This window comes from Homo sapiens, chromosome 9, assembly GCF_000001405.40.
Source record: "Homo sapiens chromosome 9, GRCh38.p14 Primary Assembly".
In the NCBI taxonomy this organism is placed as follows: Eukaryota; Metazoa; Chordata; class Mammalia; order Primates; family Hominidae; genus Homo; species Homo sapiens.
In genome coordinates, this window is record NC_000009.12 from 95,841,815 (window position 1) to 95,864,468 (window position 22,654).

A 22,654-nucleotide genomic window follows, 5' to 3' on the forward strand; every position below is an offset into this window, starting at 1 on the left:
TCACAGTCCTTAGCCTTCAACCCAATTCTCAAGTTTTGGTCTGCTTTTAATTGAGTACTTAGGAATTCACAATAAATCTTTGCACACACTTTTCTATTTCCCACTATTTTCTCCAACTTGATTCCATATGTCAGCTTTCTCCCTTGTGCCTTCCTCTCTTCATTCCAATCCTCTCCTCTTCCATGGGTAGAGTGCCAGAAAACCCTAACACCCTGGCTGGGCCATTTTGCTGAAGTCTTGCATCAAAGACATATAACTCTGTGATGTAAATTAAAGTCAAGTGTACGAATGTGATTGTATTATAAAATGGATACGACAAGCACAAGATTAAGACCAACCAACCTTGTGGATGATAAATATGTGGATCTTTGTTGTCAATTCCTCCCCCGTCCCATGGTATGCAAGCCCCCCTCATCCTGGAGCTCTTTCCCATTGAGCCTGGGCATGACTACAGCATCCTCTTCAGCACTGAGTTTCAAGTGTCTATGATCTTCTATCAGAGTTGGCCACAATTTGGAAGCTTTCTTTAAAATCCTCTTTCGCATTCCTTCTCCTCTTGGGAGACAAGAACTATTTTCTGAAGGAGTGGTTTCTTCAAGTGTGGTTTCTAGGCCAGCAGCATAAGCATTACCTGGGAACTTGTTAGAAATGTAAATTCTTGGGTTGGGCATGGTGGCTCATGCCTGTAATCCCAGCACTTTGGGAGGCCGAGGTGGGTGGATCACGAGGTCAAGAGATCGAGACCATCCTGGCCAACATGGTGAAACCCTGTCTCTACTAAAATACAAAAATTAGCTGGGCTTGGTGGCACACGCCTGTAGTCCCAGCTACTCAGGAGGCTGAGGGAGGAGAATCGCTTGAACCCGGGAGGCAGAGTTTGCAGTGAGCCGAGATGGCGCCACTGCCCTCCAGCCTGGTGACAGAGCAAGACTCCATCTAAAAAAAAAAAAAAAAAAGAAAGAAAAAAGAACTGGCTCCAGCCCAGACCTACGGAGTCAGAAACTCTGGGAATAGGACCCAGCAATCTCTCTCTCTCTCTCTCTCTCTCTCTCTCTCTCTCTCTGTTTGTGTGTGTGTGTGTTCATTGTGGTAAAATATACATAATATAAAATTTACCCTTTGAACCACTTGTAAGTGTACAATTTAGTGGTTTTACATATATTCATGATATTGAGCAACCATCACTGCTACTCATTTCCACAGCTTTTTTATCATCCCAAACAGAAACTCTATACCCATTCAGCAATAGATTCCCATTCCCCCAACCCCATCCTTAGTCCCTGGTAACCTCTATTCTACTTTTTGTTTTTGTGAATTTGTCTGTTTGTTCTAGGTACCTCACATAAGTGGAATCATACAGTATTTGTCTTTTTGTATCTGTTTTTTTTCACTTAGTATAATGTTTTTCAGGCTCATCTAGGTTGAAACATGTATCTAAATTTCACTCTTTTTCGAGGCTGAATAATATTCCATTGTATGTATATACCATATTTTGTTTAGCCGTTGATCTGTTGATGGCCATTGGAGTTGTTTCAACCTTTTGGCTATCATGAATTATGCTGCTATAAACATTGTACAAACATCTCTTTGAGTCCCTGCTTTCAATTCTTTTGAGTATAAACTGAGAATGGGGATTGATGGATCACAGGATAATTCTCTGTTAGCTTTTTGAGGAGCTGCCAATCTGCTTTCCACAGCAGCAGCACCATTTCACATTCCTACCAGCAAGACACAAGTGTTCCAATGTCTCCACATCCTTGCCAACATTTGCTGTTTTCTACTTTTTTGATAGCAGCCATCCTAATGGATGTGAAGTTACATCCTATTGTGGTTTTGATTTGCACTTTCCTAATGATATTGAGCTTTTTTCCTATGTTTCTTGGTCATTTGTATATATTCTTTGAAGAAATATCTGTTAAAGTCGTCTCTCTCTTTTTTTTTTTTTTTTTTTTGAGATGGAGTCTCGCTCTGTCACCCAGGCTGGAGTACAATGGTGCCATCTTGGCTCACTGCAACCTCCACCTCCCAGGTTCAAGCAATTCTCCTGCCTCAGCCTCCAGAGTAGGTGACACTACAGGCACGGGTCACCATATCTGGCTAATTTTGTATTTTTAGTAGAGCCGGGGTTTCACTATATTGGCCAGGCTGGTCTCAAACTCCTGAGCTCAAGTGATCCAACGGCCTCAGCTTCCCAAAGCACTGGGATTATAGCTGTGAGCCACCATACCCGGCCAAGTTACCCCATTTTTGAATTGGATTGTTTGTCTTTTTCTATTGAGTTGTAGGAGTTCTTCATATATTTTTGGATATTAATCTCTTATCAGATAGATGATCTGCAATTTTTTTTCCCACTTTGTGAGTTATTTTTTTCACTGTCTTTATAGTAACTTTTCTTTTTTTTTTTTGAGACAGAGGCTTGCTCTGTCGCCCAGGCTGGAGTGCAATGGCCCGATCTTGGCTCACTGCAACCTCCGTCTCCTAGGTTTAAGCGATTCTCCTGCCTCAGCCTCCCAAGTAGCTGGGATTACAGGTGCCTGCCACCACGCCTGGCTAATTTTTTGTATTTTTAGTAGAGATGGGGTTCCACCATGTTGGCCAGGCTGGTCTCAAACTCCTGAGTTCAGGTGATCCACCCGCGTTGGCCTCCCAAAGTGCTGGTATTACAGGCGTGAGCCACCACGCCCGGCCTGTAGTGACTTTTGATAGGCAAAAGTTTTTAATTTTGATGAAGTCCAACTTATTTATTTTTTCTTTTGTTGCCTGTGCTTCTGGTGATATATCCAAGGAATTATTGCCAAGTCCAATGTCATGAAGATTTCCCCCATGTCTTCCTCTAAGAGTTTTAGAGTTTATGCTCTTACATTTAGGTTCTTGATTCATTTTGAGTTAATTTTTATATATGATATAAGGTTAAAAGTCCAACTTCATTCTTTTGCATATGGATATCTAGTTTTCTCACCACCATTTGTTGAAAAGTCTGACCTTTCTCCATTGAATGATTTTGGCACCCTTGTCTCAGTCTGTGTCTTAACTAGCGTCCAGGTAATTCTGATGCTGTTTTGCGTGTGTTTTATCCTTTATCTTATACTTAGCCAGTCTAAGTTTGAGAGGGTCATAATCAAATGGTTTTCCCAATGCACAGAAGGCATTTTATCTTGATATTATGACCACTCTCACTTCAATATTCTAATGGGAATCCTAGACTCTGACAGTGCTCATATCAAAAAGGAAAATAACCAACTTAATCCATTCTTGGTATAACCAGTAAGTGATCCCCTGAGTTTCTCTCGTGGCCCTGTGATAATTAACCACCAAAGAACACTGATGAAATTCAGCTCATTGGACTCTAGAAATAAAGTTTTCTAACAGATACTCTTAAAAAGCTTTATATATACTCTTTGAAATTTTTTTTACCAAAGTTGAGTTTAAACTTGTTTATGGTAAGCAAGGTTCACCTCAAGTTTAGTGCTGTGAGTTAATAAAAATAAAATTGAAAAGCTCAGCTCAATTTTGTATTAAAACCTGATTAGAACCATGCTAAATTGGTACTTAGCTTTCGTGTATTAATTTAAAAAAGAGTCTAACACACCATAAACAAATCTACTTGTATAGTTAAAAGCTGGCTTGTGTATAGCCAAGCTCAATTAGCTACATCTAAGCATGGCATCTACATGCATGCCCAAGCTTTGTAGCAATACTCAGAAATTTATCTTCCACAAAGTCCTGGGAGAGAAGGAGTTACATTAAAGCTGCCAAACATTTCAAAATTCAGTGACATAGACTAATTTCTACTTATTATTTAGATACCCAGGTTTACTTAACTGACAAATTGGACTTTATTAGTTAGCTATATCTTTCAATGGTCAGTCATCATCCAACCTTGAAATAAATGGTATTTGATTAAAGCAGTAATGGTTAAAACATTTAAACCACATGCTGTAGATCTGATAAATCAAGTCAATATGTGTAAAGGGAAGAATTATTAGAGGATTTATGAAATCTGGCCCGAACAAATTAATTCATCAGTTTAGCCAAAGGTCTGTCAATGAATTCAAGAACCTTTTCAAAAAGGGAAACATCTGTTGCAATTTAAGTTTCTGTTTATAAGTGAATGTGGTAGATTGTTCTTTCTGAAAAGGGATACAGTTTACACAAACAGATTTGAAAGTTAATTTGAAATTGCTCAATGTCTTTGAGAATCAGAGGGCAATCCTTAGGGGATTTGGACAATTACTGTCCTTTCCACCCCTTCTTGGTGATGGAAGGGAATTTGAACCTCACCAGGACTGCAAAATGTTCCAACAAACCATGATGCCAACTGTCCAGGAACAGATTACTGCCTAGGTAATAATGCGAAGTCTCTACCTATCTGTGTTGGATTTATTAAAATCATATACTTAATGGAAGATTTAAAGGTACTTCCAAGCAAGTACTTATACATATACCATACATACACATATATTTCTGCTTTATACATTTACTTAGAATCTAACTTTTAAGTTAGAAGAGACTCCATTATATTTTGAGCTAGTAAGGTGAGTAATAAACACATTTAATAGATAAGAAAACTGAAGCTCAGAATCATTGCATGAATTTATTCAAGATTGCACAGCTAGCAAGTGGCAGGACTTAAAACTGAACTAGTGTCATTTAACACAGACATTGTTTTTCCTGTTGCAACACACACCTAACCATTCCCGGTTGTATTTTCATAATAATGGGGGCTCATCGGGGTCACCAACCTTTGCTACTCAATCTGTAATAGTGGATCAGCATCATCAGTGTGTCCTCAGAGCTTGTTAAAATGCAGAATCTCAGGCCCTACCCCAGACCTAATGAATTAAAATACGCTTTCTGACAAGATCCCTAGGCACATGTTATTGTTTAAGAACGTCTGTTTTAGAACTCACTTTGGGAAACCTGTGCTAGAATTTATTGTAATGCTGAAAAAGACCAGCTGAAACTCTTAAGATTTGATTTCAACATTCAAAAAATAATTTTCTATAGTTCAATATAGTTCAAAGATGCATAATGATTAATTTTTGTAGGTTTTGTTCCAGCTTTATTAAAGATAGAAGATCCACTAATTATTATGGGCTTGAAACTAAATTTTTAATTTTTTTGTTTGTTTTTGAGACGGAGTCTTGTTTTGTTGCCAGGCTGGAGTGCAGTGGCGCTATCTCGGCTCACTGCAACCTCAGCCTCCCTGGTTCAAGCGATTCTCCTGCCTCAGCCTCCCGAGTAGCTGGGACTACAGGTGCGTGCCACCACGCCCAGCTAATTTTTGTATTTTTAGTAGAGACGGGGTTTCACCATGTTGGCCAGGCTGGTCTCGATCTCCTGACCTCGTGATCCGCACTCCCCAGCCTCCCAAAGTGCTGGGATTACAGGTGTGAGCCACTGCGCCCAGCCAAAGATATGTATTTTTATCAGCACAAAGATGTCAGAGGCGTTTGAACCAGAGCAACTCCATCTTGAATAGGAGCTGTGTAAAACGAGGCTGAGACCTACTGGGCTGCATTCCAAGGAGGTTAAGGCATTCTAAGTCACAGGGTAAGATTAGGAGGTCGGCACAAGACACAGGTCATAAAGACCTTGCTGATAAAACAGGTTGCAATAAAGAAGCTGGGTGCAGCTGTAGCAGCCCTCCTAGGTGCAGGACCTGGGCACCTCTGCACCTGCATCCTCCGGGGACCTGGGAAGGCCCACACTCCCCCCCAACACATGCCCCTCTACCCCCACTCCCCACCCCCATCCCTGCAGGTTTGGGGGTGCCTGCTACCGGTGCCTGGCCTCTCTCCTCTCCCGGTGCCTGCTGTGATCTCAGAGGGGGATTGAGGCCGAGCCCCAGGACCATGAATGGCAGTGGAAGGCAGACAGATTCGTGGGTGGAAGTGGGTGGTCCCCAGTAAGTCCCCTCCTTCAGGCCAGGGAGGGCCTGTAGGCTGGGGGGGCCTGGCTGCCAGTCAGTCCCAAGACCAGAGCAGGGACTCATGATGCCTCTTCCAGGCCGCCTGTGGCCACCCACCAACCAATTAGCATGCACTTCCTCCCCTCTGAAGGCCATAAAAGCCCCCAGCTCAGCCAGAGCAGAACAAAGGATGGAGAGGCCACCGGAAGACCAGTTGCAGAGAGGAATTACCCTTTCTGCTGACAAGACAACCTGCTGGCAGAGAGGAGCTATCCTCTCTGCTGAGAGCTTCAGAGACCTGCAGCGATGTCCAAACGACCTGTCTGCACAGAGGAGCCACCCTCTCCAGGGCCTCCTCTCTGCTGAGAGCTGAACACTCCACTAGACAACCTGCATACAGAGAGGAGCTACCCACTGTGGACTTCCTCCCAGCTGTTGCAACACTCAGTAAAGCTCCTCTTCATATTGTTCATCTTCCACTTGTCTGCACACCTCACTCTTCCTGGATCCAGGACAAGAACTCGGGCAAAGGCCCTGCCAGCATGGAGGTTTCCAGCCAGAAAAGCAACACCCCAAAGATCCCGTCACACCACCAGCTCCAGCTCCGTGATGGTTTATAAAATGCCACGGCAACATCAGAAAGTTACCCTATATGGTCTAAAAGAGGGGAAGCATGCATAATCCACCCCTTGTTTAGCATATCATCAAGGAATAACCATAAAAATGGGCAACCAGCAGCCCTCGGGGCTGCTCTGCCTATGGAGTAGTTATTCTTGTATTCCTTTACTTTCTTAATAAACTTGCTTTCACTTTACTCTATGGATTCGCCTGGAATTCTTTCTTGCACAAAATCCAAGAACACTCTCTTGGGGTCTGGATCAGGACCCTTTTCCCGTAACAAAGGTAGAAGACAGCTTCTATTATCAAAAGGCCTTTATCAAGCTGTGGCTTCATAATAACCAGCCCTCAATGTCAGGAGTTGATGACAGTCACTCAATATTAAATTTTGGTTTGGGGGTCTTTGTGAACTGCAAATTCTGACTGGCTTTTAGAAAAAAAAATTGTAGCCATGACAAAAAGTATTCAATTCCTATCTCTGATATTTTCTGTTCAATAAAACTCCATAGAATTAAAACTTGAAATTCTCTAATTGTGCCTGTGATGTACTTAAGCATAGCAGAGCCTCCACTGGAGATGGGACTGTACTCATCATGAGACCTGGCCACACTCAGAACTGTCAGGAGACCTGGCAGGGCTCCTAAGTGTCTATGCACATGAGAATCCAGGAGCTTTGGTGAGTCTGGCTTTCAACAGAAAATTACAAGGCATACTAAAAGGCAAGAATTACACTTTGAAGAGACAGAATAAGCATCCAAATCAATTCAGGTATGGCAGGAATGTTAGAGTTATCAGACTGGAAATTCAAAACAACTATGATACACATGCTAAGGGCTCCAATGAAAAAAGTCAATAACATGCAAGAATCGATGTGTGATGTAAGCAGAAAGATAGGAATTCTAGGAAATAATAAAAATACTATAAATCAGAAACACTGTAACAGAAACGAATACTTCTGATAGACTCATTACTCATGAGCCCATCATCCTGGATAGATGACGAAAGAATTTCTGGTCTTGAGGATTTGTCAGTAGAAACTTCCAAAATTGAGAAGTCATAGGAAAATGACAAAAACAAAAAACAAACAAAACCCCAGAATATCTAAGAACTGTGTGTAACATTAGCATAATGGAAATAAGAAAGAGAGAAAGGTACAGAGCAAATAGTGGTGGCAATAATGACTGAGAATTTCCCTAAATTAATGTCAGATACCAAAGCAGAGATCCAGAAAGCTCAGAGAACACCAAGCAGGATTAATGCCAAAAAACCGCACCTAGCTATATCATATTCAAACTGCAGAAATGAAAGATAAAAAAAAAAAATTTGAAAGAAGCCAGAGGAGGAAAAACACCTTATCTGTAGAGGAACAAGGATAAGAATTATGTCATAATCTCCTCAGAAACTACGCGAGCAAGAAGAGAGTAGAGTGAAATATTTGATGTGTTGAGAGAAAATAGCCACCAACAGGCCAGGTGCGGTGGCTCACGCCTGTAATCCCAGCGCTTTGGGAGGCTGAGGCGGGCGGATCACGAGGTCAGATGATCGAGACCATCCTGGCTAGCACAGTGAAACCCCATCTCTACTAAAAATACAAAAAATTAGCTGGGCATGGTGGTGGTGGGCGCCTGTAGTCCCAGCTACTCGGGAGGCTGAGGCAGGAGAAAGGCGTGAACCCGGCAGGTGAAGCTTGCAGTGAGCCGAGATTGCGCCACTGCACTCCAGCCTGGGCGACAGAGCAAGACTCCGTCTCAAGAAAAAAAAAAAAAAAATAGCCACCAACCTAGAGCTCTCTACTCTGCAAAACTATTCTTCAAAAGTGAAGAAGAAATACAGACTTTCTCAGACAAACAAAAATTGAGTGAATTTATTGCCAACAGACTCACCTAGCAAAAAATATTACAGGAAGTTCTTCAGAGAGAGGGACTATGCTACAGGTCAGAAACTGGGATCTGTAGAAAGAAAAGTATTGGAGAAGGAATAAGTGAAGGAAAATTTTAAACATTTAGAAAACTTAAACAATTATTCTTAATTGATCTAACAGAAAACAGTTTCTTCAAAATAATAGTGGCAACAATGCATTTGATTATGCATGCTTACATATATGTATACGAATACATATATGTGTATGTGCTTATGGATAAGTGAAATGAATGACAACAATGATACAAGGGACAGGAGGGAGGAATAAGTTTTTTTTGTTGTAAAGTACTTGTACTACCTATGAAGGGATATAGCGTTATTTGAAAGGTGACTTAGATTAGTTGTAAATGTATTTTGCAAACTCTAAGGCAACTACTAAAAAAAGCAACAAAAAAAGTATCTTAGAAAGGAGAGAAAACGGAATAATCTAAAATTATCAATTATGACCTCCAAAGGCAGAAAAGGAATGGAATTTAAAAATAAAAACAAAAAACAAAGGCAATTGATAGAAAACAGTAATAAATATTGTAGATATTAATCCAACTATATCAATAATTACTTTAAATGTCAATGGTTAAATGCACCAACTAGAAGACAGATTGTCAGAGTACATCAAAAAACAAGACCCAGCTATATGTTCTCTACAAGAAACCCACATTAAATATAAAGACACATATATTAAAAGTAAATGGATGGAGAAAGATATACTGTGCCAACACTAATAGAAAGCAGGAATAATGATATTAACTTCAGAAAGAGAAGAGTTCAGAGCACAGGAGTTGTTAGGGATTTTGGAAGGGCATTTCATAATGAAAGGGGTCAATTTGGGTGATAACAATGTGTCAATAAAGGTTTATCGATCGTAACAAATGTAGTACTCCGTAGGGGGATGTTGATAGTGGCGGAGGCTGTATGTTTGTGGAGCCAGGGAGTTGATAGAAACTCTGTACTTTCTGATTAATTTTGCTGTGAACCTATAACTGCTCTATAAAGTCTATTTTTTTTTTTTTTTGAGACTGAGTCTCGCTCTGTTGCCCAGGCTAGAGTGCAGTGGTGCAATCACGGCTCACTGCAACCTCTGCCTTCCAGGTTCACGCCATTCTCCTGCCTCAGCCTCCCGAGTAGCTGGGACTACAGGCACCCACCACCACGCCCAGCTAATTTTTTTGTATTTTTAGTAGAGATGGGGTTTCACCGTGTTAGCCAGGATGGTGTCGATCTCCTGACCTCGTGATCCGCCCGCCTCAGCCTCCCAAAGTGTTGGGATTACAGGCATGAGCCACCACGCCCGACCTATAAAGTCTGTTTTTTTAAAGTGCACATGCCCATGAAATGACATATTTTGTAAGAACCAAAGCAACAGAATGGAAATGGAAGAATTTGCATATAATGGAATACTCCATAGCAATGAAAAAGAACAAACCACAGCTGCATGTAACAACATGAGTGTATCTCACACACATAAGACACAAGAGAGTACATCTTGTGTTGTTTCATTCACATAAAGTTTAAGAACAGGTGAAATGAATCCCTGGTGATAGAAATCAGGATCATGATTACCTTTAGGCGGAAGGAGGTTAGAGCTAGGAGGAAGCATGATAGAATCTTCTGGGATGCTTAAAATGTTCAATATTTTGCTCCAGATGGTGGTTACACAGGTGGATTCATATCCAAAAATTCACCAAGCTGTATACACTTAAGTTTTGTGCACTTTGCTGCACGGCATAGTCTTTCCCTCAGCTTGTCTTTCAGCCTGGTCCTCGTCTCTAATTTTAAAACGAAATCAACAGCCACATCACAAAATAGAATTCACTTTAAAAATATGCTTTATTTTTTAAACTGAAATCCCAATTGTCCATAAGCATACAAATGGAGGGTTTCAAATTGTTTACTGGCCAGAGTATCAAGCCATTTAGCAGGCCCTTGAGAGAAGAGGTATGTTCTGGCAGAGAATCAGAGAATCATGAGCCTGAATGTACACAAAGGAGGCATGACCAGCAATGAAAAGACAGGAAGGGACGGAGATTGGAGAGAATGGTTTGGTCCAGGGAAGGTTGTTAGAAATTTCTTTCACTTCACAAGCTTGCAAAAGACCTGGGTCTCAACTTCCAGCAAATCGAGATGGAGAATTTTTTAAAACCATAATTAGGTACTTTAAAGAAATCTTCAAGTTTTGCTTTAGCTATTGGCATAATTTCCTCTATTCTCTGGGTTGCTGCAGTAGTGAGGATCTGCAAACAAAAAGGCACTCTTCATGGAAACAAGGAGAAAATAAACGGTTCTTTATATCGGCACTATTTTTTTTCCTCTCTGACTTATTCATTCATGGGTTTCTCCAACTGTCTGAGTCTCTGGGAAATGGTGTGTTTGCCCATTAATCAAGGAATACCTATTTCTCCCCTTCCTGCGCTACTAATCAAGAGAAGCAACATTTTCAACTTCTGAGAAGTCCATTTTAGACGTTCCTTGTATGACTCAGTTGACATGTTCACTGGTGACAGCAATCTTGCTATGACTAAGCAGCTTCTACTTTTGACATCTTCTAGTAGAAGAAATGAGTCGCTGTGTAGACATTTCCCTCCAGGTGGTCTTCACCTAGAGTATAACAAGTAGCCAAGTCTATAATGGGAAACTTTCTTTCAAAGAGATCTGAATGTTGATGTATTATTGCAGAGTGTTTGCTGCCTCCAAGTTCTATCTCTCACAATGTTAGAAGATGATGACTTTCTGTGGCAATAAGGATTTTTACCAGGTCTTTATTTGGTGCCCAAGAATAATACTTTTCTTGTGTTTCAGATTTTCAAAAAAATAAGAACATTCCTTCGAAGAAGCTGTTATCCAGCATCAGATCTCTGAATGCCGCTGACTGAAAAGCGGGCTTTTGCATGCAAGGTGGAAATCTATATTCAGTTGCAGGTAAATAGAAAACTAAACTCCTTCCTGTTAGACTGCCGTGCATGCCAGGTCTTCTAGTCCTAACTGCCCTGAGGCACTCTGCACATCACCCATGGTGGGTTTTGAGGCCCACTGGGATCATCTAGGACCTTGAGAAGGGGTTGGCTGTTACAGGAGCTCTAGTCTATAACACTGACAGACATTTCTTCTGCTCCATGTTTCATTTTCTTGTTTAACAGGTAGACCAATTTGCTACTAAGTTGGTTTCTCCAGCCTCGGCTGTGAAAAAGCAGCATCCTTTGGGAAGCATTTTGCACTTACTGCAATATTCCAGCGATGCCAAGTCACAATCTCAGTGAGCTCCACACTTACTCAGGTAAATTCAACTAATTCATGTGCTATGTTAGCTAAATGGAAAAATATTGATTCAACCATTCTGCTTACAAAGATTGTTAGATTTTATACTAAGTCAGAATTTCATCTGCCTCCTTTCTGACATTTGTGTAAAGGTTGGATGCCTATAACACTGAAAATAATTTATAATATACTGACCTCTATGAGCTTACAGTGGTATAGTGCTGTAAGCTATTAACATCCTTATTTACCCTGAGAGGATGCAGGATAGTTAGAAACACAGATAATTGGTATTGTAAGGCCAATTGCCTATGTCTTAAGAATAATTATCATTATTTGCCTGGCATTTTATTTAGGAATAGGCTAATGGCATTCTTTATAAACAGTGCTATCTTATTCTTAAGTTTAGCTCTGTTTCTTAAATAAAGATAATTCCTTAAGATCCTTTTTTCAAAATTCTAAAAGGACCTGTCTTTTACTACAAAAACTTTAATAATTTTTATTTTTTCCAATGTTTTATTATGAACATTTTCTAACATATAGAAAATTCAGAAGAAAAATACAATGAACACTCATATCACTTAGACACCTACCATTTAGATTCAACAATTGTTAACATTTTGCCAGATAAGTGGGTGTGTGCACTTGTGTGTGTATGTTGTTTGCTGAACCTATATCAAAATAAGCAACAGACTTCATGATATTCTTCCCTAAATATTTCAGGGTCATCTCCTAAAAATAGGGCATTCCACTACATGATCACAATACTACTAACACATCCAAGAAAATTAGCAATTATTATAATATTATCTTATACCCAGATCATGTACAAATTTTCTCATTTGTTCCTCAGATATATATTTAAGCATGTGTTGAATGGCTGGGTTTTGTTTTAAATCCAGGTTTGTATATTGCATTTTGTTTCTGTATTTCTTTTAATCTCTTTTAGTGCAACAGTGTTCTCAGTAGCACCCTCATGCCCCAACACATCTTCTTTTCTTTGGCATTGAATTTTTAAAGCATCCAGGACCATTGTTTTGTATCATGTCTCAAATATGTTTATTTCTTCATAGTGTCCTATAGCTGGTTCATCTCCTGTGTATTTGTCATGAACTGTAAGTTGAAGTCCTTTAGCTGCATCTTAAATATTTGATCCTAGTTATAGCCACTTATGTTGGCTTTTCTATCGTTGCATGTAAATAAGACTTGACCTTATTCAATAAACTAAAGTCTTTCTGATTTTATAAAATATAAGTGCCTCTAAGTGAGACCTCTCTCCTGTACTTTATGACTTCTTAGTAAATGCATAGCACATATTTACCATCTGAATCACACCATTCAGATTCAATCTCTCTGGATTCTTGTAAGTCATCCAAAATTTTTCATTTAGAATGTGGTGTACTACACTCAAAATTACTCTTTTCCTGCCAATATGCTGTCTTTTTTTCCTTAGGATTATCTCTTTGGAGATTTTTAATTAAATATATTCTTTTCTACTGATAGGCAGTTAAAGTCTGAAACTTTAAACATCTGGTTATCTACTTCTAGGGTAATAATGTATTTTAGAAAAACCTAGAAATTAATGCAATTTATAAAAATAACTAAATTATTTAGTGTACCAAGTGTGAGAGAAATCTGTATGCTAATTCTAGAATGTGCAGTAACATGAAGTAGAATAGTCTCTAGACAAGTGTGAAATTTTTAATTAATCCAAGCTATATCTGAAAAAGTGATGTTTGAGGGTTTCAGAGTGATTGTAAATTAAACTAATTACAAATTGATTACCATTGATAAGTTGGTCCTTTAAATTCTTAAGATAAAATGAAAGCTGAATTTTTATTTGTGACTGATTTGACTATTTCTGTACAATATTTGCTTTAGGAAACATTTTAGTGTTTTCAAAATTCACCTTTTAGCTGGATCCAGTGATACGTCTGACAAAATGACAGGCAATTTGGAAAGCGAACATGAAAATATCTGAGGAAGGGCAGTCCAGACTGAAGGAACTGCAAATACAACAAACCTAGAGACAAACCATCAACCAATACTTAGCAAAAAAACTAGACTAGGAAAAATGTCTGAAAAACCCTAGACCACCTACGTCCTCACTTGCTACAACTTGAATAGTCCTAAAAATATTCCCATGAATACTACATTTAAGAAGAATATTCAAGAAGAATAATACTTAAAAATATACTTGTGATAAATTGGGTAAATTTAGCAAATTGTTTTTAGGCAAATTGATGCTTTGCTAAGTTGACTTATAGAGGACTGGTTTTCAATCAATTGATTTCTGGCTAATTTACCTACAGCTGTGCCTGCTGCAGAATAGACATTTAGTAAATGTTTATTGAAAGAATGATAGGAAAAAGCTTGCATGTGAAACAAAATGCCAAGTATTGTATTGAGTTTTGTATCTGAGAGCAATAACTTAACTGGAAACTAATTTGGGTTTGTGGCTTATCTGCCTTTCTGATATTTGATCCCATCCAAAAACCATCTGCAGGTTTTTTAACTGCAAAGCCTCACAAGACCTATCTCTGGCCCAGTTTATCTCCTGGTGCCTTCCTTTCATCTTCAAAGCAGGCCCCAGGAACTCAGCTTTCTTTCCTCTCCAGCAACTCAGCCATCCTTTCTATCCCTTCAGATTTTGTTTCATACCACTGCATAATCTCCCTCATTTTGCATTTTCTTCTACATCTGTAGATAAGCACAGAAACCTAAAAAATTTAAGGATCTTATTCCTGATCTCTGAAAAGAAATAGGATAATGAAGTAACCAATCTGGTAGAAGTGAGTAAGGTTATAGAATCCTTCCATAATTAACAAGTTATCTGTTACTTGTCCCTTTCAAGATGGTAAATGGATCTAGGAGGATGAGACTTTTGTGTGTGCCTTTTTCTCTCCCCGCTAAATTATATGAATTAGTTTTATCTCTTTAGGATTTGCCAAAAAGCAAAGTGGTTATCATTATTGGTTAAACACATTGATATTTATTTATTTTAGCAAACATGAAAGCAATTGTTACAACAGGACTACAACAGTCAGCAGAACTGGGTCCCAGCTGGTGGTGACTCCAGAAAATAGTCAGGGTCCCACCTTGTGCCCACTCTTCCATACCTTTCCTGAATAGTCATCAGTGTTCTAGGTCTGGTATATGTTCCCTGAAAGGCAGCAAAGAAAGAGAGTACAGACTGTAGTGTCCCTGATAAGATCATATGTGGATCTCCTAATATCAATTTGGCTTGAATACAAGGACTACTTTCCTATTCCAAGGGCAGGGTAGAGGTACATACCTAGGACATGGAATGGCAGATGTCTGAAATATACATTGCAGACCACCACACTTCACTGAGGTGTTGCCCTCTGCATTTATTCCTGAGGGTGGAGTTCACTAAACCACTTTCCTTCTCACCCCATTTTTAGATACAATCAAGGTAGAATAATAGGTGTTTCCTAAACTCAAATTGGCAGTTTGCAGTTTCTAGGACATCAGCAATGAATGACACCCTTTTAGTGAACCCTGGCCCTTCCCCTTCCCCCTAGGAATGATGAACATAGTTCATGTCTTTACTAATCGTCTGTGACCCAAGCATCATACTGAGCACAACGTGTAAATATCAAGAAGACAGTGTTCAAGGGCAAGGCTTCAGTATATGAGGGGCAGCAGAAGTGATGGGGGGGAGGAGGAGTGGAAGACCAAGGCTGAGCCATTCCCCAGAGGGATCTTGTTACCAGGAACGTTGCCAAGGCAGGGGCTTTTGCAGCTGTGTAAAGAGCAGATTGGAGCAAGATAGAAGCCTGTTGTGAAAACTGGGGCCCAAGATCAGGGCTGGACAACATCAAGCATCTTTGCTGCTAGAGTGCCTAAGCGTTGAGTCACAGCAACTTAATCCCTCCTATTAATACCTGGTTTGATTCTAGAGACTGGGGTGAGGCTGAGTCCCCTATTGGCTGCCAGAATTTCAGCTGCAGGGAGACAAACTCCAGGAAATCTACAAGTTAGGCAAGAAGGATATGGGGAAACAGAGGTCAGTTTCCAGAGAATTAAACAACTGACATGAAAGACTTAAGGGCTGTTCCTGGTAAAGGAATCTTTACGTGTAGGAACTGGGCAAGGAGAAAAAGAGTCCAGTTGCATTCACATTCTCACCTGAGTGACAAGAGAAGGCAAGATAACTAAGCGGAACTTTTTTCATTCTGTTGCTTTCTAAATTTTCAAACTAAGTTTAAAGAACAATGAGACTAAGTCTGTAGGTCACGACAACCTGGCAACTTCAAGTTAGACCTCCATAATCATGAGTGTTTGCTCTCACCTATCAATACCATGCCATTCTGAGATTGCCAGACCAGCCTTCTTCCCAGCCCTGGCACCCAGGGCTCTGGCTCAGCTCTTTAATACCTACTTCCCTGTGCTGACCTGATGCAGGAACTGCTGGCCTTGCAGCTTGTCCAATGTCAGCCTAGCTCAAAACTGGGTCTTCATACCTACAGTCCAAAGAAGGTGTTGAACTTGCTAATCTAAAGGCATCAAAGGGCTGCAATATGTTGGAGTGGAAAGAGGAATAGAAACTTAATGAAGTTGCCAGAGAGCAACAAGAAACCAAGAACAGGCAGAGCTTAATTTTAGGCTCCAGGGATTTTCCCAGACTTATTTTCACTGTTTCTTAGGGCTCCAATTTTCTAAGTCCTTTATTCTTCAGTCAAATGAAGTACAAGGAAATGTGAGAACTCTAGATGAGTCCCTGAAGTCATTGATACTAATCAAATGACCCTGGCAGCTCAGATCAGCAGGCACTTTGGGAGCATCAGCAATGACCCCTGTGTCCTTGGGATGTCACTCTCCTGCTATAAAGTCTTCAGTGGATCTCTACTGCCTTGGAATAACTGGACTCTCTAGCCTCACCTTTAAAATCTTCCAGGAACCCTTTCTCTCACTAATCCCCTTCAGGCGCAAATACTCCAGCAAAACTTAATCACTGGTTTTTCACACTTGACATGAACTTTTTCCATTTTCTGACTTTTCTCAAAGTTTACCTTGTGTAGAATAATATTTTATCTAACTGACACATCTAAATATAACTATTCTTCAATGCCAGCTAAAAGCTTATCTCTTCCAGAATGCCTTCTTTCTGATTACACTAATCTCTGATCACACCTACATTTACTTGACTTATATTACTCAGCATGTTTTTACTATAAAGTAAATCTTGTGTCATCTTCCTCATTTACACTGCACATTCATCAAATACAGATATTATATGTTATCAATATTTTCAAATGACCTCAGTGCCAGAGTTGAACTAATCATATTCCTCAGTTCATATCACCTGATCATTAGAGTTGAAGCAAAACACTTAATTTAGATATTTATTCCTTTTTCACCTCATTCTGTTACCGTTCCCTCTCCCATTCCCCTTTCCATAGACAACTGCTCTGAGTTTGAAGTCTAACACGTGTATACATACTCTTGCAAAATATAATAATATAGTCTACTGTATCTTATTAGACTTTGTTCTACTTCTTATTTTTTTACTCAGCGCTGTGGTTTTGTTTTGTTTTGTTGAGACAGGGTTTTGCTCGTTGCCCAGGCTGGAGTGCAATGGCGCGATCTTGGCTCACTGCAACCTCAGCCTCCCGGGTTCAAGCAATTCTCCTGCCTAAGCCTCCTAGTAGCTGGGATTATAGGCACCCGCCACCACGCCTGGCTAATTTTCGTATTTTTAGTAGAGATGGGGTTTCACCACGTTGGCCAGGCTGGTCTCAAACTCCTGACCTCAGGTGATCCACCCACCTCAGCCTCCCAAAGCACTGTGTTTTTAAGATCTATTCATATTGCTCTGTTGACACTTGGTTTGTTACTTCAAGCTGCCATACAATACTCAATATTATGCAGTCTGCACATTTTACTCACCCCTTCCTCCAGGAATGAACACCAAGATTCCCCCTAATCACTGGAAGCCACAAATAGATAATACATGACTCTTAAGTGTGAAAACTTCTTTACAATATATATACCCAGGTAAGGGCTGGCTGGGTAATAAGGTGTATGCATGTTGAAATTGACTAAGTACTGAATTTGACTAGCTGTACCAGTCTACTCTCACTAGTAGTTCACTTAGGTTATTATTTTCCCACATCCTTGCAAATACTTGGCCTTATCTGATTTTCTAATGCTTGTTTATCTCATGGATATCTAGTTGTAGTTTTTGAATTTGTTTAAATCACTCTTAGCTGATTTTTAATACATTTGAGCATTCTTCATATATCCTTTAGCCATTTAGGTTTCCACTTCTGCAAATTGCCTATATACATTCTTTGTCTATTTTTCAATTAGTTTTCCTGACTCTTTATTATCGAATGATTTGCATATGTTTTCTTGTACATCCTAAATACAAGTTAGGCCTTTTGGCTAAGATCAAGTGTAGTATCTGTTCTTATCAGTTTAAATACTAGTTAACACATTGGTTTCAGTTTGGCTGTGGGGTCCTTCACTGAACAATTCTGATGAAGTCAAATGAACAATTCCTTACATTTTGTTTGTGCTTTTGGTAACTTGCTTAAGAGTTCTTTCCCATACCAGTGTCATAACCTATAGTTTCTTCTGTAGCTTTATAGTTTTGCTATTCATATTTAGATGTTTAGTACATATACACATATATACATATATATTTTCACACACATATATACACACACTCCTCTCTATATGCATATGTATATATATGTATATGGTATGAGATATAAATCTGTTTTTTCTCAATATGGTAAACTTATTTTCCCATTACCATAAACCGGTTTTTCTTTCCCCAAGGATTTGTGGTGTCATGTTTATCGTATCTAAGACTTCCATCTGAGATCTCCGTTCTGTTCCATTTCTTCATTTATGTTTTTACACCAGTACCATACTATTGTTTGTGTGTTTTTTTTTTTAAATTACTATAGCTTTGTTTTAATCTTAAGTTTTGGCAGAACAAATTCCTGCCCTTTAGTCTTATTTTTCAAAATTGATTTAACTATTTGTGGATGTTCATTCTTCTATATACATTTTAAAATAAGTAAAGTCCTTAAAAACATCTAGCTACAGTTTCAATTGGCATGCTATAGATTTATGAATCATTTGTCAGTGGGGGGTGTGGATACTTTTAGAATGTTAAATGATCTTATCTGTAAAGATAAACTATTTCTCCATTTATTTAGAACTTCGCATCTCGTAATAGGTTTTTAAAACTTTAACCATGGAGCTCTTTCACATTCTTTCAAAAGTTTACTGACATGTTATAGTTGTTTTTACTGCTGTGTACAGCAGCTTATTTCCTAATTATGTTTTCTAGATGGTCATTGCTGCTGCAGAGAAATGTTATGGACTTTTTAAAACTGATCTTGTATCCAGCAACTTTGCTGAACTTCTTGATTTGTTTTACCTTCTTGACCTGTTATAATATCTATGTGTAATGCTACTCTTTGTCTTTAGAAGATATTTTTGGCTTTAAGTCTTTTGATAGATTTAAGATCAAGATTGGTACTCTGGCCTTTTTTATTGTTTATATTTCTTTTGCATATGTTTTTAGTGCTTTTAATTTCTACCTTTCTATGTCTTTTTGTTTTAAAGTGTAAGAATGTCTTATACTTAGCGCTTTGTTTTGTAATCCAATATGAGTGCCATTTACTATAATTACTGTTTTATCAGGATTTATTTTTTCATTTTATATTTCCTTTTACTATGTGGCTTCTTCTTCCTCTTCCTAGTTCATCTTGTGTTCTTCCAAATACACAGAAATGATTTCTGCTGCTTTGAGATTTATATTCTAATTTATTCTTCTAGTAAGTTATCCCTAAGTTGTCCTTTTTGACTGGGGCTTATTTCACTTAACATAATGTCTTAAAGTTTCATCCATGTTGTAGTATGTACCAGAATTTCATTCTTTTTAAAGGCTGAATAATATTTCATTGTATGTATATACCATATTTTGTCTGCATTCATCTATCAGTGGACACTTGAGTTGCTTCCACTTTTGGCTATTGTGATAATGTTGCTATTACAATAGCAACAACATTGCTCTATGTCTGTCTTTCTGTCTTTCAGTATCACACTATTTTGATTACTGTAGCTTTGAAATAAGAAAGTATATGACCTTCAACTTTGTTATTTTACAAGATTGAGTTGGCTACACGAAGTCTCTTGAGATTCTGTATGAATTTCAGAATGGATTTTTTATTGCTACGAAAAAGCATTGGAATATCAATAGGGATTGCATTGAATCTGTGGAATGCTTTGGGTAGCAGTGACATCTCAACAATATCGAGTCTTCCAATTCATGAACACTGGTTTTTTCCCCCATTTATTTGTGTCTTCTTTAATATCTTTCAGCAATATTTTGTAGTTTTTAGTGTACAAGTCTTTCAACTCCTTAGTTGTATTAATTCCTAAGTGGCTTTTGTTGTTTTTGGCTGGAGGAGATGCTATTGTAAGTTGAAATATTTTCCTAATTTCCTTTTTGGTTTATTCATTGCTAATGTTTAGAAAAGCAATGATTTTTGCATGTCGATTTTGTGATTTTGCAACTTTCCCAAATCAGTTTATTAGCTCTAACAGATTTGTTTGTGTAAAATCTTTAGGGTTTTCTACATATAAAATGATGTCATCTGTGAACAGAGACAATGTTATTCCTTCTTTTCCAATTGCGATGTCTTTAATTTTTCTTTCTTACTTCACTGCGCTGACTATGAATTCTAGTACTATGTTGAATAGAAGTGGCAAAACAGCATCCTTGCCTTATTCCTGATCTTAGAGGAAAAGCTTTCACTCTTTCACCATTGAGTACGATGTTTGAGCTGTGGGTTGTTCATATATGGCTTTTATTATGTTGTGGTAATTTCCTTCTAATCCTAGTTTGTTGAGTTTGTTTTTTTTTTTTCTAATCATGAAAGGGTATTGAACTATGTCAAATACTTTCTCTGTATCAATTGAGATGATTATGTGTTTTTATTTCCTTTACTTGTTAATGTGGTGCATTACATTGATTTTTGTGTATTGAGCCATCCTTGTATTCCAGTAATAAATCCCACCTGGTCATGATGTGTAATCCTTTTAATACACTCTTGAATTTGGCTTGCTAGTATTTTGTTGAGTATTTTGCCTCAATAATCTTAAGGGATATTAGTTTTCTTTCCTGGTAGCATATTTCTCTGGCTTTGATATCAAGTAATGCTGGACTTACAGACTTAGATAAGAACTGCTCACTCCTCTTTATTTTTTTGGAAGAGTTTGAGAAGGACTGGCATTAATCTTTCTTTGAATTTTTGGTAGAATTCACCAGTGAAGACACCTGCTCCGAGGCTTTTCTTTGTTAGGAGGTTTTTGATTATTAATTCAATTGCCTTACTCATTAAAAAGGTCTACTCATATTTTATATTTCTTTATAATTTAGTTTTGGTAGGCTGTGTGTTTCTAGGAATTTGTCAGTTTCATCTGGGTTATCTAATTTGTTGGTTTACAATTGTTCATGCTACTGTCATAATTCTTTTTATTTCTATAAAATCAGCAATTTTTTATTTTTATTTCAATCACTTGAGTCATCTTTTAGTCAATCTAGCTAAAAGTTTGTCAATTTTCTTGAGCTTTTAAAAGAACCAACTCTCAGTTTTGCTGATTTTCTCTATTATTTTTCTATTCTCCATGTCTATTCTAATCTTTGTTATTTTTTTCCCTTTGCTAGGCTTGGGTTTAGTTTGTACTTGTTTTTCTAGTTCCATAAGGTAGAAAGTTAGAGCACTGATTTGAGACCTTTCTTCTTTTTTAATGTAAGCATTTACAGCTATAATTTTCCTTCTTCTGACTACATTCACTGCATCCTGTAAGTTTTAGTATGTTGTTTTTATTTTCATTTGTCTCAAGATATTTTCTAATTTCCCTTGTGATTTCTTCTTTGACCCTTTAGATGTTTAAGAGTGTGTTGTTTACTTTCCACAATTTGTGAATTTTTATTTTTTTCTTCTGCTGTTGATTTCTAGTTTCATTCCATTTTGATTGGGAAAGATACACAGTATGATTTCAATCTTTTAAAATTTATTCAGGCTTGTTTTGTGACCTAACATATGGTCTACCCTGGAGAATGCTCCCTGTGCAGTTGAGAAAAATATATATTCTGCTGTTGTTGGGCATAGTATTCTCTATATGTCTGTTAGTCCAATTTGTCTACAGTGTTGTTTGTGTTATTTATTTATTTTCTGTCTACTTGTAATATTTGCCATTGAGAATGTGGTATTAAAGTCTCCTACTATTATTGTAGCCAATATTTTCAATAGGGTCTTTGTGTGGCAACCTTTCTGAGGTTTTATACGGCTGAGATTATTTCTATTGCACTTTTCATATTTAAATGCCAATCCGGATGAGTGCAAGATTCTAGCTTCAAAGATTTTTTTCTCCAATACTAAAAAAGTATAACTCAGGCCGGGCATGGTAGCTAACGCCTGTAATCCCAGCATTTTGGGAGGCCAAGGCAGGTGGATCACGAGGTCAAGGGATTGAGACCATCCTGGCCAACATGGTGTAACCCCATCTCTACTAAAAATACAAAAATTAGCCGGGCATGGTGGTGCACGCCTGTAGTCCCAGCTACTTGGGAGGCTGAGGCAGGAGAATCGCTTGACACTGGGAGGCAGAGGTTGCAGTGAGCCGATTGCGCCACTGCACTCTAGCCTGGTGACAGAGCGAGACTCTGTCTCAAAAACAACAACAACAACAACAACAACAACAAAAAACTATATCTCAGTTTTTTGTTTTGTTTTGTTTTGTTTTTTGAGATGGAGTCTCACTCTGTCACCCAGGCTGGAGTGCAGTGGTGCAAACTCGGCTCACTGCAACTTCTGCCTCCTGGGGTCAAGCGATTCTCCTGCCTCAGCCTCCCGAGTAGCTGAGATTACAGGCATGCGCCACCACACCCGGCTAATTTTTGTA

At 38.5% G+C, this 22,654-nt stretch overlaps 2 long non-coding RNA genes and 1 pseudogene across 2 annotated transcripts in view, besides 1 other annotated feature; 2 read left to right on the forward strand and 1 right to left on the reverse strand.

The window, feature by feature from the left end:
• ERCC6L2-AS1 (ERCC6L2 antisense RNA 1) overlaps positions 1-22,654 on the reverse strand; it is a 69,890-nt gene that overhangs the window by 35,727 nt on the left and 11,509 nt on the right. Inside the window, exon 2 of the long non-coding RNA NR_023390.1 lies at positions 8,413-8,478. This is a non-coding gene — a long non-coding RNA (ERCC6L2 antisense RNA 1). The remainder of the gene's footprint in view (positions 1-8,412; positions 8,479-22,654) is intronic.
• LOC124902221 (uncharacterized) lies at positions 10,483-11,972 on the forward strand. Its single transcript, XR_007061680.1, has 3 exons — positions 10,483-10,598; positions 11,246-11,365; positions 11,584-11,972. It is a non-coding gene; the product is annotated as an uncharacterized LOC124902221 (long non-coding RNA).
• Positions 10,813-11,107: an enhancer, noted in NCBI's record as "tiled region #6609; K562 Activating DNase unmatched - State 5:Enh". NCBI's record gives its function as "activates a minimal TATA promoter and a strong SV40 promoter by Sharpr-MPRA in K562 cells {active_cell/tissue: K562}" and the evidence as "EXISTENCE:reporter gene assay evidence [ECO:0000049][PMID:27701403]".
• Positions 18,090-18,202, forward strand: RNU2-46P (RNA, U2 small nuclear 46, pseudogene; annotated as a pseudogene).